The following is a 16,884-nucleotide window of genomic DNA, read 5'->3' as shown; positions in this document are numbered from 1 at the left end:
TTATTATTTTGGACATCAGTGAGGGCTTGGAATTTCCAGGATGAGAGCCCACTGTTTATAAAGAGAACTAGAAAGTATTTTATCATTAGAACAGTCTCACAATTTATCAAAGTAGCAGCAGTGATTCCTGGTGTTCTCATTTAGCTGAATACAATTTTAATTTTGCCCCACTGGAAGAGGGGACTGTTTTGTGAATGGCAGTGTTCATTAATGAAATCTACTGCTAATATTATATTCAAAGGAGATCAAACAGCAGATCTCTAAAAATAGCAAGAATTACATAAAATTTGTTTGATTCTATAGATTTATATATCAGTGGCCAGGATTCTCAAATGTTCTAAGAGATGTAAGTAAAAAACAAATGTCATGGATTAAAAATATTTTTTCAAGCAAGAAAATCCTCTTTCAGACCAAAAGTAAGACAAAGATCTTATGACTTGGCCACATATTCTGACATAAATTCCCTTTTCACCTGCTTTTCTCTTTACTTAACTTTTCTTTTGCCTTTCATTTTCCCTTATATATTTTTCCAGTTTTTGCATCATTTTCTTTCTAAAGCTGCTCCTTTTATTCCCTCCTCATTTCTTGACATTTTAAAGTCTTATCTCTTTGTCTTTTTCTTATTTTTGTTCATACCTCCTGTGGTTCTTCTCTTCCTATAGCACCAGGCTAGGTTCAATATCTTCATGCTTTCATTTAGAAATAGTATCAAGAAAGATACATCTCAGTTTTAGGTAAGAATATGTGATACATTTTTTTAATGAGTTCTCAACCAGAGAGACAGCTTCCAAAAAGAAAATAATATAAAAATTTTGAATCCTAACCAAGTTATGAAATGTTTTTCAGTGGAGCTATGATCAAGAAATATGACTAACTAAAATATCAACATGTCCTACAGAAAGAATTCAAAGAGTATTTTATAGAGAAATGAACTGTTGTCCTTTTGCAAAATAGTTAACAGTTCAGTAGCTTCATGTCTTGATCATTCCACCAACTTTTGAATTCAGGGTTTGTTTATGTACCTCCCAATGCAAGGACAATGATTTTCCCATAATTGGCACTTTAAAAACGTGCATTGTATTGTATTCAAGTAAGAGTTAACTTAAGCCGTGTTGTCAACCACCATTAAAACTGTATGTTTAGTCAGATGCCTATATTTCTTGTAGTAAGTTTATTGTACTCATGTATGGGTAAGAATAACGAAAAGCAATCATCTTAATATTGGCTAATTATAATACCTAATGATTATTGATCATCTACTACATTCAAGTTCTTCCTGTGATAATCATTAGATTGTCTCCAAATTTTCCAACAACCCTTTAAAGTAGGTATTATGATGCCCATTTAATAGATGAGGAAACAATCGCAAGAGGTTTTGACAAGTTCATGTAAACCCAGGTAGTAAGTAAAGTGAGGATTTGAATGTAAATCAGTCTGGTGCCAAAGCCCATGCTTTTTCCTTAACGCGCCCTGCAATTGGAGCCTTAGAGGCAATAGATATGACTGGGATGATACTACAAAGGGAGGCTCTGAGAGTTAAAATGATTAATACAAACTTTACAAATACTTTTGTTGATTTTCATCCACAAGTTAGGTGTTCTTGTCATTTATGTTTTCATATTTGAGACTGCATTCAATAGGAGGTGTGTTTCCAGTGTGCCTTCCCGCTGTCATTGCTCATGATTACAGAAAAACTATTTCCATGCAGCTAAGTATGCAGGCTTACCAAGATGGGTTACAGCTTTCTCCTTATTTACTGCTTAAAACTATGTCCTTTTCTTTGGCAAACCATATATTCGTTTAAGAATAACTCCATGATCTTTCTGTAAACAAGACTACTGCAGAGGTGACACTCAATTTCTGCAGCAGATGGTTCTTCATGGCTCCCCACTGGCCAGGCCACAGAGTGACTTTGATAGCAGCCAGTTGCCTGCCCTCTCAGGATGAGACACACAAATACAGCTGCTTTTTGGGGAGAAAGTTGGGCAAGAAGGACAGGAAAATGACTGTCTAAGCGGGGAAGAAGCAAAAGGGATGAGGCCAAGACCAGAGGCTCACTTAGAATTGGCTCATTTTACCAAATAATTACTGCAGAGTAATAAAGACCATCAACATACACTTTCGGTTATGTCATGGGACAAAGCAAACACTATCTGACACCTGGGCTTCTTGCCCATAATAAAATGTATCATATAAATGAGACTGATTTCCTGCATTTATAAAAAGGTGAATAATCTTCATTTCCAGTGTAAATCATTACCATTAGTTCACAAAACATTTTCCTTGTTCAGGAATTATAGGAAGGAAGTGATGTCAAAAGAGAATGTAAAAGAGAAGCAAATTAAATGTATTACTTGATGATTTTTTATGGAATATGCTATGGTTTAGATATGATTTGTTTGTTTCCATCAAAACGCATGTTAAAATTTTATCCTCAGTGTGGTGATGTTGGAAGGAAAGGCCTAGTGGAAGTTTTTTGGATGATGAGGACAGGTTTCTTATAAATAACTCGGTGCCATTCTAGCAGTAGTGAGTGAGTTATTGCAAAACTGGACTAGTTCCTGCAAGAGTAGGTTGTTATAAAGCCAGGACTCCACTTGGGTCTTCACACGTGTTCCTGTCCCCTTTGACCTTCTCCATCATGCTTTGACCCAGCATGTGGCTCTCACCAGAAGCCTAGCAGATGCCAGCACTTTCCCCCAGCAGAATCGTGAGATAAATAAACCTCTTTTCTTTATATATTATCCAGTCTCAGGCATTCTGTTATAGCAACACAAAATGGACTACGAGAGAATCCTGTATTTTACCCAACATTTTTTACCATTATTTGGCAAAATTGGACCAAAACCAAACCTTATAAGACATGGTTCACTATCGTCTTGTTACAAATGAGAAATTTGTAACCAGTTGGTTTCACTGGTAGAAAGCAAAGAAGCTGGGATTTTAACTGAGATTTTAAATCTAAACCACAGAAACACACTTTCCACAAGACTACCCAGCTTCTGAACACACATTTTACCTTTGAAGAAGCATGTATGTAAATCCAGATTTTTCTCTTATGTTTCCACAGCCAGGGCATGTGGCCTGTGCAGTTGCACAGAGCTCTGAGATGAGAATGATCCTATATTTGGTTTAATACCCTGATGTCACCATCTTCACATCTCAACAAGATGCCCCACATTTTTATTTTGCACTGGGCCCTACAAATTAGGTAGCCAGTCCTGTCCACAACACCCCGCACGGCCCTACACTAGCATATAAGACACTGAGCCTTGATTGTGGGTTTAGGAATCTATTGTCTCCGGCAGATTGTTACCCTTTCCTAGCAGGCCTCTACAACTTTCCATGATGATCACCAGTTACCCCTCTGCTCTCATCTCTGTCCTGACACTTTCCTCTCCAGCCATATCAGCCTCTAGGCTCTTTTCTACTACACTGAACACAATGCCCTCTGCCTAAAACACTTTTCCCCCAAATATTCCCATTCTTCTTTCCTTCTCTTCATTTCTCTGTTCAAATGCTATTTCAATAGACAGGATTTTCTTGACTGTCCTGTTTAAAACAATTTCCCCAGCATTCTACCCAATCATTTACCCTGCCTTATTTTTATTTATAGTTTTGGGGTACCAGCTTAAGTGATACATACTCACTGGTTTAATTTACATTATTATGAGATTATTTATGCACCCCCACAGAGATGTATACGTTGAAGCACTGACTCTCAGTACCTCAGAATGTGACACTGGAGGTGGGGCCTTTAAAGAGGTGATTAAGTCAAAATGAAGCCACTAAGGTGAGCACTAATCCATTCTAACTGATATCCTTATAAGAGGAAATTTGGACATACAGAGAGAGAGCAGGGAATGTGCACACAGGCCGTGTGAGGACGCAGTGAGAAGGTGGCCATCTGCATGTCAAGGAAAGAGGCCTCAGGAGAACAAACCCTGTCAACACCTTGAATTTGAATTTCTAGCTTCCTGAACTGTGAGAAATAAATTTCTGTTGTTTCATCCACCCAGACTGCGGCATTTTGTTGTGGCAGTCTCAGTAAACTAATCCAATTGTCTTTGCCATCCTAAAGAATATTATGTCTCTCAGAGAAGAGATGTTTCGTTCATTGCCATGAACCCCAGTGGCAAGCAGTAGACACAGTAGATATTTTAAATTATTGAATAAGCAATGAATGATTTCATAATTACTTAAGAGCAATTCAAAGAGAAAATCCAAACCGTTTATGATACCAAAATACTTTATTTCATGCTGCCTGAATTAATTCTGCCACAGAAGGACTTGGGAACCATTTTGTTAAACAAAAGTTTTTATTGTAATGGGACTTGACCTGCTCTGTGTTTCTATCCAGGCTTGTGATGTAGCCACTAATGGATTATGTCAGGACCAAGAAACGAAAGATCACAATACATGCTTGAAGAAAAGCTATTGTCACCCAGTGTTTGTTATTAGAAAAATTACAAAAAATAACCTACAGCAAAAATCAATCAGGAATTAAAAGGATACCACACCACACAACCAGCCTCCCATGCATTTCTTTGATAGTCAAGATCAGTTACAACTAATTGCTTTTAGCACTTGTAAGGCTACATAGCTATGGCTTCATTCCGACGAACGACACATTGAAATTGCTGTGCGTTCCTCAGGTTGTATCAATACTACCACAGCTTTTGTCCTCACATTAACAGGACAAAACAGGAGAGTAGCAGATTACTAATCAACACATTGACTGATAGTCCCACAGTCCTCTTGACTTTTATGCCCGGGGTGGCGAATATTCTGTGGGAGGTAACAGGTATTGAGCACCTTCGGGCATTTTTATCCCTGATGACAGTTAGGTTTAGACATCTTCTACCAGGAAGATAAATAGAGTTATTTGACTGTTCCTAACGGACTACAAGAGCTGAATTATCCACCTTATCCCCAGGTTATATTTGCTTGCTGCATTAACGTAGCCTAGACCTACAGGAAATATTATACGGATTTTCATGATTTCCATGTATAAATGTATGAGATCAAAAGGAAAGTGATCCTGTGGTAGGAATTTCAGAGCAGCTCCTATTTTACACTCGGCTTCCTCACGAAATCTTATTTCCATGCTACTGAAAGCAAGGAAAGATGTAATAAGGGTACCTACCAGCTGGGTATATGCCAGCAACTCTAGGACACTCTCTAATACCTTAGGCCATTGAATTATCAACCTAAACCTCTGGAGTAACTCTTCCTATCAATAGGAAGTGATGAAGCTAAAGCTGAAGAAAGATTGATAACTTGTCCAAGATCATGCACTCAGCAAGTGAGAGATATGAGTATCTTCACAGCATTCTAATTTCTTGTTGTGCCAGAAGCTAACTTCTCCTTTTGCAAGGCCGGCCCTTACTCTGTTCTAAGTCTTTGAAATTTGGTTGGGGCAGGCCTACCAACTGGTTTTGAGGAATGGACATGTGAACTAGGTCTCCTTGTCCATAGCAGTAGGAGGATGAGGATGATAACCAGGGACTTCTGTAGGAACTGCTAGATAGGTGGGATGTTATCCTGGACTTACCACACGTCATTATAGGAAGAAAACCTAGGTAAGAATAAAGCTACTACAGAGAAAAGTCAAGCAATAAATAGAAAGCCAAGCAAAGAAATGAAAAAGGAAAGGAGAAAAAGAGAGAAAGATGATAAAAGTGCTTTTTGACCCCTGTATCTAACCATGCCACAGAGCCCTCACAGACCTATACCCTAGGTGTTTTTTAGCTTATCTGCCATTGAATTTTTTTTCTAAAACCAAGTTTAGTATTTTTGTTTGTTTTTTGTCATAAGCAATCAAGAGTCTTCTATTATACCTGGGGTACTGACATGTGCTATTTTTGATCAATCACGTATTCATTTTATAATGTTCTTTTCCTGTTATAGACTCAATAGTTTAGGCTTTAAAAACAAATACAAAAAAAACCTATTTGACTCCACTTTTTTCAATCTGCAGTTAAAATCATCAAAACCTCTACATGTGCTATAAATCATAAGTGTAGTGTCAAATCCATTATGAAATTAGATAATAAGTGTTTACTAAGAAACCACTATCTTCTGATCCTCACACCACCTGCTAAGGTATTGCCATAAGAAAGAAATGATTGGAGAGTTGAAGGGAATTCACCAAGGTCCCTTAGCAGTTCGTGGTAGGGATAACTTGACTACTTACCACTCCTCTATTACAAATACCTTTTGGTATTTTAAGAGTAGATAACCAGAATGATAGGTGCCTTTTTCTTAAGTAAATTGTGAAGCATTTCAATAGGTTTAAGATACAAAAAAAAAAAAAAAACACTCCAGCACTAAACAAAGATCTTAAGAAAGAGGGCCTTATTTTTTATTCTTTTACACTTTAAGTTCTGGGATACATGTGCAGAACGTGCAGGTTTATTACACAGGTATACAAGTGCTATGATGTTTTGCTGTACCCATCAGCCTGTCATCTACATTAGGTATTCCTCCGAATGCTATCCCTCCCCTAGCCCCCCACCCCCTGACAGGCCCCGGTGTGTGATGTTCCCCTCCCTGTGCCCACATGTTCTCATTGTTCAACTCCCGCTTATGAGTGAGAACATGTGGTGTTTGGTTTTCTGTTCATGTGTTAGTTTGCCGAGAATAATGGTTTCCAGCTTCATCCACGTCCTGGCAAAGGACATGAACTCATCATTTTTTATGGCTGCACAGTACTCCATGGTGTATATGTGCCACGTTTTTTTGTGCAGTGTATCATTGATGGGCATTTGGGTTGGTTCTGAGTCTTCCCTATTGTAAATAGTGCTGTAAACATATGTGTGCATGTGTCTTTATAGTAGAATGATTCATGATCCTTTGGGTGTATACCCAGCAATCGAATTGCTAGGTCAAATGGTATTTCTAGTTCTAGAGCCTTGAGGAATCACCACACTGTCTTCCACAATGGTTGAACTAATTTACATGTCCAACAACAGTGTAAAAGCGTTCCTATTTCTCCACATCCTCTCCACCATCTGTAGTTTCCTGGATTTTTAATGATCACCATTTTAACTGGCATGACATGATATCTCACGGTGGTTTTGATTTGCATGTCTCTAATGACCAGTGATGATGAGCTTTTTTTCAAATGTTCGTTGGCCACATAAATGTCCTCTTTTGAGAAGTGTCTGTTCATATCTTTTGCCCACTTTTTGATGGGGTTTTTTGTTTTTTTCTTGTAAATGTGTTGAAGTTCCTTTTAGATTCTGCATATTATCCCTTTGTCAGATGGATAGATTGCAAAATTTTCTCCCATTCTGTAGGCTGCCTGTTCACTCTGATGATAGTTTCTTTTGCTGTGCAGAAGCTCTTTCGTTTAACTAGATCCCATTTGTCAATTTTGGCTTTTGTTGCCACAGCTTTTGATATTTTAGTCATGAAGTCTTTGCCCATGTTTATGTCCTGAATGGTATTGCCTAGGTTTTCTTCTAGGGTTTTATGGGTTTAGGTCTTATGTTTAAGTCTTTAATCCACCTTGAGTTAATTTTTGTATAAGGTGTAAGGAAGGAGTCCAGTTTCAGTTTTCTGCATATGTCTAGCAAGTTTTCCCAACACCATTTATTAAATAGGGAATCCTTTCCCCATTTCTTGTTTTTGTCAGGTTTGTCAAAGACCGGATGTGTAGATGTGTGGTGTTATTTTTTAGGCCTCTGTTCTGTTCCGTTGGTCTATATCTCTGTTTTGGTACCAGTACCATGCTGTTTTGGTTAATGTGGCCTTGTAGTTTAGTTGGAACTCAAGTAGCGTGATGCCTCCAGCTTTGTTCTTTTTGCTTAGGATTGTCTTGGCTATATGGGCTCTTTTTTGGTTCCAGATGAACTTTAAAGTAGTTTTTTCTAATTCTGTGTAGAAAGTCAGTGGTAACTTAATGGGAATAGCATTGAATCTATAAATTACTTTGGGCAGTAGGGCCCTTTTCACGATATTGATTCTTCCTATCCATGAGCATGGAATGTTTTTCCATTTGTTTGTGTCCTCTCTTATTTCCTTGAGCAGTGATTTGTAGTTCTCCTTGAAGAGGTCCTTCATATAAGAGGGCCTCATTTCAAAGTTAAAGATTTCAAAGTTAAACAGGCAGCTAAAATATTTCTACATCCTTGGTTTTCAACTGTGTTTTGAGGAATGGAATTTGTTTCAATTTTTTTCAAGTACAATATTGCTTGGTGTCCTATAATGTAAAATAGATGACTATTTTAAAGTGTAAATACAAGTTAATGTATGTAGTATTTCCTTATAAAATACTCATTATAATGTTATGCATTATAACCACTTTTATAATGAATGGCGAAAGTGAAAGTATTTTAGTGAACATTCATTTTGAAATCAGAAGTACATATGACAGGTGCAGCCCTAGATAAGCTTTACATACAATTTCTTTCTAATTTTTTTCGGTTCGGTTTTATGGTATAAATAAAAGTCTCAATTCCCACATATGAATGTCTGCAAAGTGGGAACAGAATTTTTTGTTTATTATGAACTATTTTTCTCACCATCTCAGGATACTCTTCAAATAAGAGGAGATGGCAGAAGATTTATCTAGAACTGGGAAAAAGAAAGTTACTCCATTGCACGTGTGTTTTTTACTAGAACAATAATAGTTAATATTTATTAAAAGTTTTCAATGTATCCATTATGATGCTTTCAACCTCAAACAGAAGACAATATAATTAACATTGATTTAAGCAAGGTGTCCACAACTCTTTCTGCAAAAGGCCAAATTGTAGATATTTTACTCATTGTGGGCTATGCATTCTGTGTTGCCATTAAACAACTCTGCCATTGAAGCATGAAAGCTGCCACAGAGAACATGTAAATGAATGGGCATGGCTGTGTTGCAATAAAATTTTATTTAACAAACAAACAAACAAACAAAAAAACAGCCAGATTTGGCCCACAAGCCATAGTTTGCCAATGCCTGGTTTAGGCTATAATAACTTTTGTAAATTTAACTAAATGTCCACAATTTGGATGTCTTTAATTGGCTCAGTGGCTCAACAATGACATCATAGAGAAAGGCTTTTCCCATCCTTCCACTATCCTCAACACATTGATGTTCATTCTCCATCTTGGTGCTTCAGGGTTGCAAGATGGATGCTGTAGCTCTACTTGGCAAGTTTTCCAATGACAGAATTTGAAGCAGAAAGATAGAGGGCAGAGCAAAATTAGGAAGGTCTTTCCTCTTCACATTTTATTAGTGAGTAATGCTTTTCCCCAAAACTCCTGAAAAGAAGACTTTTCCTTATGTTCATTGTTCATACACTCAACCCTAGATCCCCCACTGAAGAAGTGAAGTGGCATCCTATCTCAGCTCAATCAAATCCTGACTTAACTCCTGGGGCTGTTGCAGCCAGAACAACATTGGGTTCTCTTTGCAAGGAAAAAGTAAGAGTGGTTATTAGGTGGGAAATAACAATATTTGCGACACAATGTTTCAAGCACTGTGATGAGTTCTTCACATAAATAATCTTATTTTACCCCACAATAAATTATTTAATTACAACAACTTCACAGATTAGGAAACTAAAATAATGAAAAGTTAATCAACTTCTGTAAAGCCACTCAAGTGAGTGATGTTGGAGCTGGGACTTAAACCCTGGAAGCTTGACTTCAGAATCTGTGCTTTATTGCCATAGGGTTGACACTTTGGGGTGGGCTCATAATAATTAAAAATACAGTTAAGTAAAATTTTATTAAATATAAACATAGACTACTTGAACCATTTCCACAGATTTTGGGGAAAATTGAAAACCATTATTTTAGCATAAATATAGGAGATTGTGGTCTGTTAGGGTTTGAAATCAGAGAACAGTCTGCAAATGGACAGAACAAGTCAAAAGAGACCAGCAATAAGATCCAGCTACTAGTATAGAATAGATGTGAATCTCCCAGTAGACAGTGTACAGAGTAGGGTGACACCTGGAGGCCGCTGATTCAAGGACAAAGGTAGTTGGATTGTCAGAGAGTCGTAGTAACAGATAGCATGGCCCCAGATTTTGAGGACTTCAGTTCTAGATAGACATAAAGTATGAGTTATAATCTCAAGTAGCAGGAATACTAGATGAATTATCAAAGCAGGGTTAAGACATAGGACAAAAATTAAAACACGTCACTGAAACTGAGACACAAGTTAGAGTTTGGTATCAGGATTCCAATTCACAAATCAAGAACACTAGATCAGACTATACCTGTCCAAAGACACTTAATATAGGTCCTCCCAAGCTATCTTCCTCAGGTTTCTTAACTTTCTCCGATCAGAAACAGGACTGTCTCCAGAATCTAAGTTTGAACTAAACATTCAGTTGAAGAACTTGATTGATCCGAGAGTGGAAATATTACAGAAATAGAGCTAAGAAGGTCACAATACTGTCATAGTTTGGCTTTCCCATATAATATGTCAATTATTCCAAAATTTTTAAGTGCATATTTATATTTTAAATCACATTTTGACATTGAAAATTTTTCCCTAGTTGTATAATAACACAACCTTAAGAATCTGAATGCTTACATAAATTCTGACAAAGGGCAGCCTATTTGAACGCTTTCATTCATTCTCTTAAAAAATCAGATTGTCCAGGAAACAACAGGTGCTGGAGAGGATGTGGAGAAATAGGAACACTTCTACACTGTTGGTGGGACTGTAAACTAGTTCAGCCATTGTGGAAGAGAGTATGGCGATTCCTCAAGGATCTAGAACTAAAAATACCATTTGACCCAGCCATCCCATTACTGGGTGTATAGCCAAAGGAGTATAAATCATGCTGCTATAAAGACACATGCACTTGTATGTTTATTGTGGCACTATTCACAATAGCAAAGACTTGGAACCAACCCAAATGTCCATCAATGATAGACTGGATTAAGGAAATGTGGCACATATACACCATGGAATACTATGCAGCCATAAAAAAGGATGAGTTCATGTCCTTTGTAGGGACATGGATGAAGCTAGAAACCATCATTCTGTGCAAACTGTCTCAAGGACAGAAAACCAAACACCGCATGTTCTCACTCATAGGTGGGAACTGAACAATGAGAACACTTGGACACAGGATGGGAAATATCACACACCAGGGCCGGTCATGGGATGGGGGGAGGGGGGAGGGATAGCATTAGGAGATATACCTAATGTAAATGACGAGTTAATGGGTGCAGCACACCAACATGGTACATGTATACATATGTAACTAACCTGCACGTTGTACACATGTACCCTAGAACTTAAAGTATAATAAATAAATAAATAAATAAATAAATAAATAAATAAATAAATCAGACTGTCAATTACTCTGTATCTTCTTGGCATATTCAAATAAAAACCATGCTATATTAAAATACAGTAGACTACTAATTTCCTTTTTCACATTCATTCTCTCTCCTTTCATATAATTTGAAATAAACTCAAGAGCAAACCCCAACAGAAAGTATTGCTATTTGATGAATATTTAGCCACCATCTACTAAGACAATTTGAGTCCTTTGCTATAACACATCCAACCATCTAAAGTATAAAACTATGTTAAAGTACATATAATAAAAATTAGGTAAATAGAAATATACAGTGTCTTATCTGATTTATGAATACACAATTCATCAGTCTTTCTCAAAAATGCACCACTTCCTCTCAGCTCCCCATCACTGACCAAATCAAAGTCTTCATCATTTCTTGCTTGGAGTTTGACCTTGCTAGCCTTGCTTATGAATGACAGGCTTAACTAGTCTTTTCTCCTCTTCTCTATCTCCAGACCTCCAAAATTATGTCAAAGCAATCTTTCTGAGACAAAGATCAAATTATGTCATTCTTCAATTTAAATCATTTTGTGACTCCTAACGTCTAACAAGATAAAATTTAAACTCATAAGCAAGATATAAAAGATTACACATTGTTCCAAACATGGGATTATTGATGTGTTTGCATTTCTGTTTCCTCCAACTTGGATGGTCTTTCCTCATTATCTCTATATCTAGTCAACTTCAAATCATCTTTCAAAGCCAAATTCAAATGTCTTCTTCTGTGAACTTGCCTATTTCCATTTATTCCTCTATGTTACACTTTAAGCATACTTTTATTACAGCCCACTATTCTGTAATCTCAACATTTTATTATTTTATGTCTTCTGGCCTACCACTATGCTAATTAAGCTCCCTTAGTTTCCTTAATAAATTTGAAAATAGAGCAGTTCAGAGAGAAGTGCATTTGATCATCTTCTGTGTGGGATCATTTACAAGGCCAGACATCTCTGACATAGCCTCCCAAAAATCCATTAGATAATTATGGCCATCTTCTTTTAAATTGCAGATTATGTAATCAGTATATTTGAGAAATAATGGTGTCTACTTCCAACATGTCCCTGGATGTTATTACAGTTTTTAATGCACCAGTCCAAAAATCAGACTTTTTAAGGTTAATCCTTCTTAAGTCCAGTCCACTCCACAGCCCCTTGTATTAATAAAGGACAAATAAGATATTCCAATAGTACTGGAAATTACTGAACTATACCAAACTATATGTAACTCAAATGTCCCTCTTATTTGTAAAAACCTACATTTTATGGTACTGACCATCACTTTCCCATTCTAAAAAAGCAATGGTCCCACGTGTTCTCGAAGGAACCCAAAGAATATCATCCACAACTTCATAAATAAATACTCTCTCTCTACCCTAAACTTATGCCTGTTAGGAGTTTACTGGGAGCTATTTTTTCCCACCATATCCCAGACACTGTAGTTCTCAAGATACCAAAGCCATCCGACTATTCAGCAGCAAAGTGAGAGAATGTTTCTCTCTCCTTCGGGTTTCTCTCTGCAGAAGGAGGTTGCAGTGCAGTGTTACCATTTGTCTTACAGCTCCTTCAATATTGACTTCTAATCCCACTGCCTTCCCTGGGGTTCATACACAAATCAAGGCTAACTGGGCTAGGGAATTGATCTGAATGGGAGACACCATGCTGCACTTGCCTCTCTCCTCCAACTTCAAAGACTTTCACCTTCCCTCAAATGTACTTCCCAAGAGGCTCTGAGGTCCTCATACAATTGTTTTTTACTAACTCACACCACACCTCTGCCAGACCTGCCCAGACAATTCTAATTCTCACTTAAACTAAAATTACAATCCTAGCCAAACATGTAAAATTCCATTCCTGGCACATATTAGATGTTTAACAACTAAGTGTCAAATAAATACATAAGACTGAAGTCAGATTGATATATAACTTATTAAATCAATCAACAAGCATAGGCTCTCAATTTCTTCCCTGTAGCATTGATCCTTGGGGATTTCAGTCTTTTCTGGGTGACCTCCAAAGCCATCCTGTCTATCATAGCCAGAAAGTGCTCTTTCGTCAGGGACCCAGTGCCCACATCAATTCGTCAGTATTATATTTCCACAGTTTCTGTGAAAGGCATTCTCTGCATATACCAATTACACACATCATGCCTCTTGATTCATGAGAGTAGATGAGGCCAACCCCAACCTCCAGCCCTCCGGATGTTACATGGTTCAAGCTTTACTAATCAAAGTCATAAACACTCAAAGATTGGTATAATCATAATCACCTTTTCAGAGTCTACCCAGTCTCAATACTCCAAACAATTGCTGGAATTATTGAAAAAGAGACAATTTTTTAATGGGAGTTGCTAAGCTGGTAAAATATAAACCTAGAATTGCTGCTGGCTTCTTTTTTCAAGATTGAGAAAAGCCTGCCTAAGCAATAAAAACTGAAAAGCAAAGCTAAGATACGGAGAGATACTGATTCCTGCTGCCAACATCATTTGAGGTCTTTATCCACTTGTACTCTCAGCTAGCATTGTCCCCCAAATTTTCAGTTATACAAGTTAATAAATTCACTCTTTTTGATTGAACCAATTTGAGTTCAATTTTTGTCACCTGCAATAAAAACATGCCATGAATATAACAAAACATTTTGCTTATATTTTCTGAATTATCTGAAAGATATTTTAATTAATACCATCCCCCTGGAGTCAACATCCTTGGCTATGCTCAGTACTACCAATCATATTCATTATTCAGACCACAGATCAAAAATTTCGTATAATTATTTTTTGAAACCCTAGCAAGATTTCATGATCACACACAATGTGATCATGATTACTCCTGCTCCATGGGTGCAGATTATATTTTCCAAAACTGGCCATAATATTTCTAATTCCATATGCATTTCCAGCACTTCGTCACTCTCCGTCAAGAAACTGATTCTATTTCCTCATCCCCAGAACTGAGCTGGCCTTTATGAATGCCTACATGGTTAGAATGCAGCAGAAGTGATAATGCATGACTTCCAAAGCTAGGTCATAAATAACAATACAGCTTCTCTCTCTCTCTCTCTCTCTCTCTCTCTCTCTCTCTCTCACACACACACACACACAAACACACACACACACACACACACACACACACACACCCTTTATCTCTCTCTCTTTCTCTTTGTCCTTGAAATCCAACCACCATTTTGTGAGAAAGCCCAGGCCACAGGAAGAGGCTGTGTAGGGTGTAGGAGTGTTCTGACCAACAAGTCCAAAGAGATCCTCTGGCATCAACCACATGAATGAATAAGACTTCAGTTATTCCCAGCCCCGACTCTTAATTCTTTCAGCTGAGGCTCCAGCCACTATAGAGCACAGACAAGTCATCCCATTATGCTTTGTCTAAATACCTGACACATAAAAATCATGTAGGATAATAAATGCTTATTGTTGTTTTAAGTCACTAAATTTTGGGATAATATTTTTTAAATAACAGTAGATTATAAATACACCCGTCCCCATTATAACTATCTTAATTGCATAATTCTCATAAGACCTATTACTTACAACCATATTGACCACCCAGATGTTAAGGAACTTAATACAGACTTTAGTCTCTCAGCTTTCACCAGTAAACTCCTCTTACTATTTCTTTCCATGGGCTTCATGCTTCGAAAGAGTTGATCTACTTAATAAGCTACAATATATACACATCAATCTGCTTTTCTTTTTCTCATTAATCAGATATTCCATAACTTTGATCAGGACGAAATAATCCAAATTGACACACTGTAATTCTAGTCAATAAAATTCTAGTCAAACACAAAGAAGTTGGGAATATTGGATTGTCTATGCAGCCTTATCAAAAATATTTTTTGATTACCTCCCCGACTCTGAGAACAAAATATTTTGAATATTTACATACTCTTAATTTGAAAACTACTGCCACAGATGATAAAACATAAATAAAACTAGATTGAATACTGAAAGTAAAAGTGTTACTGACATTAATAAGTTAATGTTTATTGCTTGACTCACTAATCCATTGGTAACAATGAGGAATTTAACCACCTAATACACTTTTGGAACCTATCAACAATAATCTTAAAAAAAAATTATCTTACCGTGGGCAACTTGACTTTGGTGAACTACAGGCAAAGTTGGCAACAGGAGCAGTCCCATGATTACTGAACAAGAGACGTCACAGCTGCGCTTTATTGAGCATCTAATGTGAACCAGCAATATGAACGTGTGATGTTGATTGGCATACTATACTTGTATTTTATCTACACACCCACAATTTATCCAATCTTTTTGACCAAACAGGTAGTGAGTTCAGGCAAACAACTAATAATGTAATTTTTAAAAATCAAATGGTTTAGTATGCTTGGATTGAGGCTTTGTTTAAATAACTAAACCAGTTGAAAATTGTCAATACAGCATGAGTCTTTCCATTTTATTTTCTACTTGCCTTTTCCACAATCTCTTTCCCTGAAAGTGTTTTTATATTCATTTCAATTCAACTAATATTTATGTAACAGTGGGAAAAGTGCTAAATATATAGAAAAATATAAACCAGCCATGGCCCTTGCCTCAGGGAGCTTATAGCTTACAGGGTGATACAAATAAAGAAAGGTTACCCAAAGGCTCAGAGGAAAGCTATTTGGGCAGACTGTTTGCACAGATGGCCATAATAATTCTTCCCATCCTGTATCTCTCCCTTTTGCAATGTGACTTTGCCAATGCTCCCATCAGGAAGTGACATCAATTTCTCAATCTCTTGACTCTGGGTTTGCCCATGTGACTTCCCTTAGTCAATGGAATATTTGCTAGCATAATACAAGCAGAGAATTGAAATGTGTTTACACTCTGGGGTTTGCCTCTTCCAGATGCGATTGCAACTCTAAGACCACTATGAGAATGAGCTCCAGCTCACCTGCTGGAGAGGCCACATAATGAAGAATCAAGGAGTTGACAACCTGCCAAACACCAGACATATGAGTGAGGTCATCTTAGATCATCTAGCTCCATCCGAACTGTCAGATGACTTGGGTTATATGATTGACCCCAGGCAAGACAGATGGTCACAGTACCACTCAACTTAGCCCAGCACAAATTGCTGACCCACATGATTATAAGCAGACAAGCAATTGTGGTTTTAAACCACTAAGGTTTGGTGTGGTTTGTTCTGCAGCAACAAATAATTAACGCAGTCATCAAATCCAGACTCAGAGTGAAGAGATGAAAAGGAGTTAAAAAGACTTCTAAAAACCTATGCATTTAAGAAAGAGAAAATACGTAACACAACACAGACAGTAAAGGAACTTAAATTCTGAAAGAGAAGACAGACAGCTATCATTACAATAACAAATTTTGATCATTGCCATGATCCCAGGTGGACAAAGCAGGGGTTTGTGGTAGCCAGGTTCTAAGACAGTCCCCTCCTGATCCTTGCTCCTTTTGATCCTAGGTGACCAATAGAATATGCTAGAAATGATGGTGCATAACTTCTCAGGCTAGATCAATGTACTGCAACTTCTACACTGGATTCTTGAATATAAGCCAGCTGTAACGCCACGAGGACACT

At 37.3% G+C, this 16,884-nt stretch overlaps 1 long non-coding RNA gene across 1 annotated transcript in view; it reads right to left on the bottom strand.

Annotated features, from left to right (window-relative positions):
- LOC124902327 (uncharacterized) overlaps positions 1 to 15,516 on the bottom strand; it is a 100,784-nt gene extending 85,268 nt beyond the window's left edge. Inside the window, exon 1 of the long non-coding RNA XR_007061897.1 lies at positions 15,422 to 15,516. This is a non-coding gene — a long non-coding RNA (uncharacterized LOC124902327). The remainder of the gene's footprint in view (positions 1 to 15,421) is intronic.
- Positions 15,517 to 16,884: the final 1,368 nt, after the last annotated feature.

The sequence above is a fragment of the Homo sapiens genome, chromosome 9, assembly GCF_000001405.40.
Source record: "Homo sapiens chromosome 9, GRCh38.p14 Primary Assembly".
Classification (NCBI taxonomy): domain Eukaryota; kingdom Metazoa; phylum Chordata; class Mammalia; order Primates; family Hominidae; genus Homo; species Homo sapiens.
This window is presented reverse-complemented; position numbering and strand designations above follow the sequence as displayed.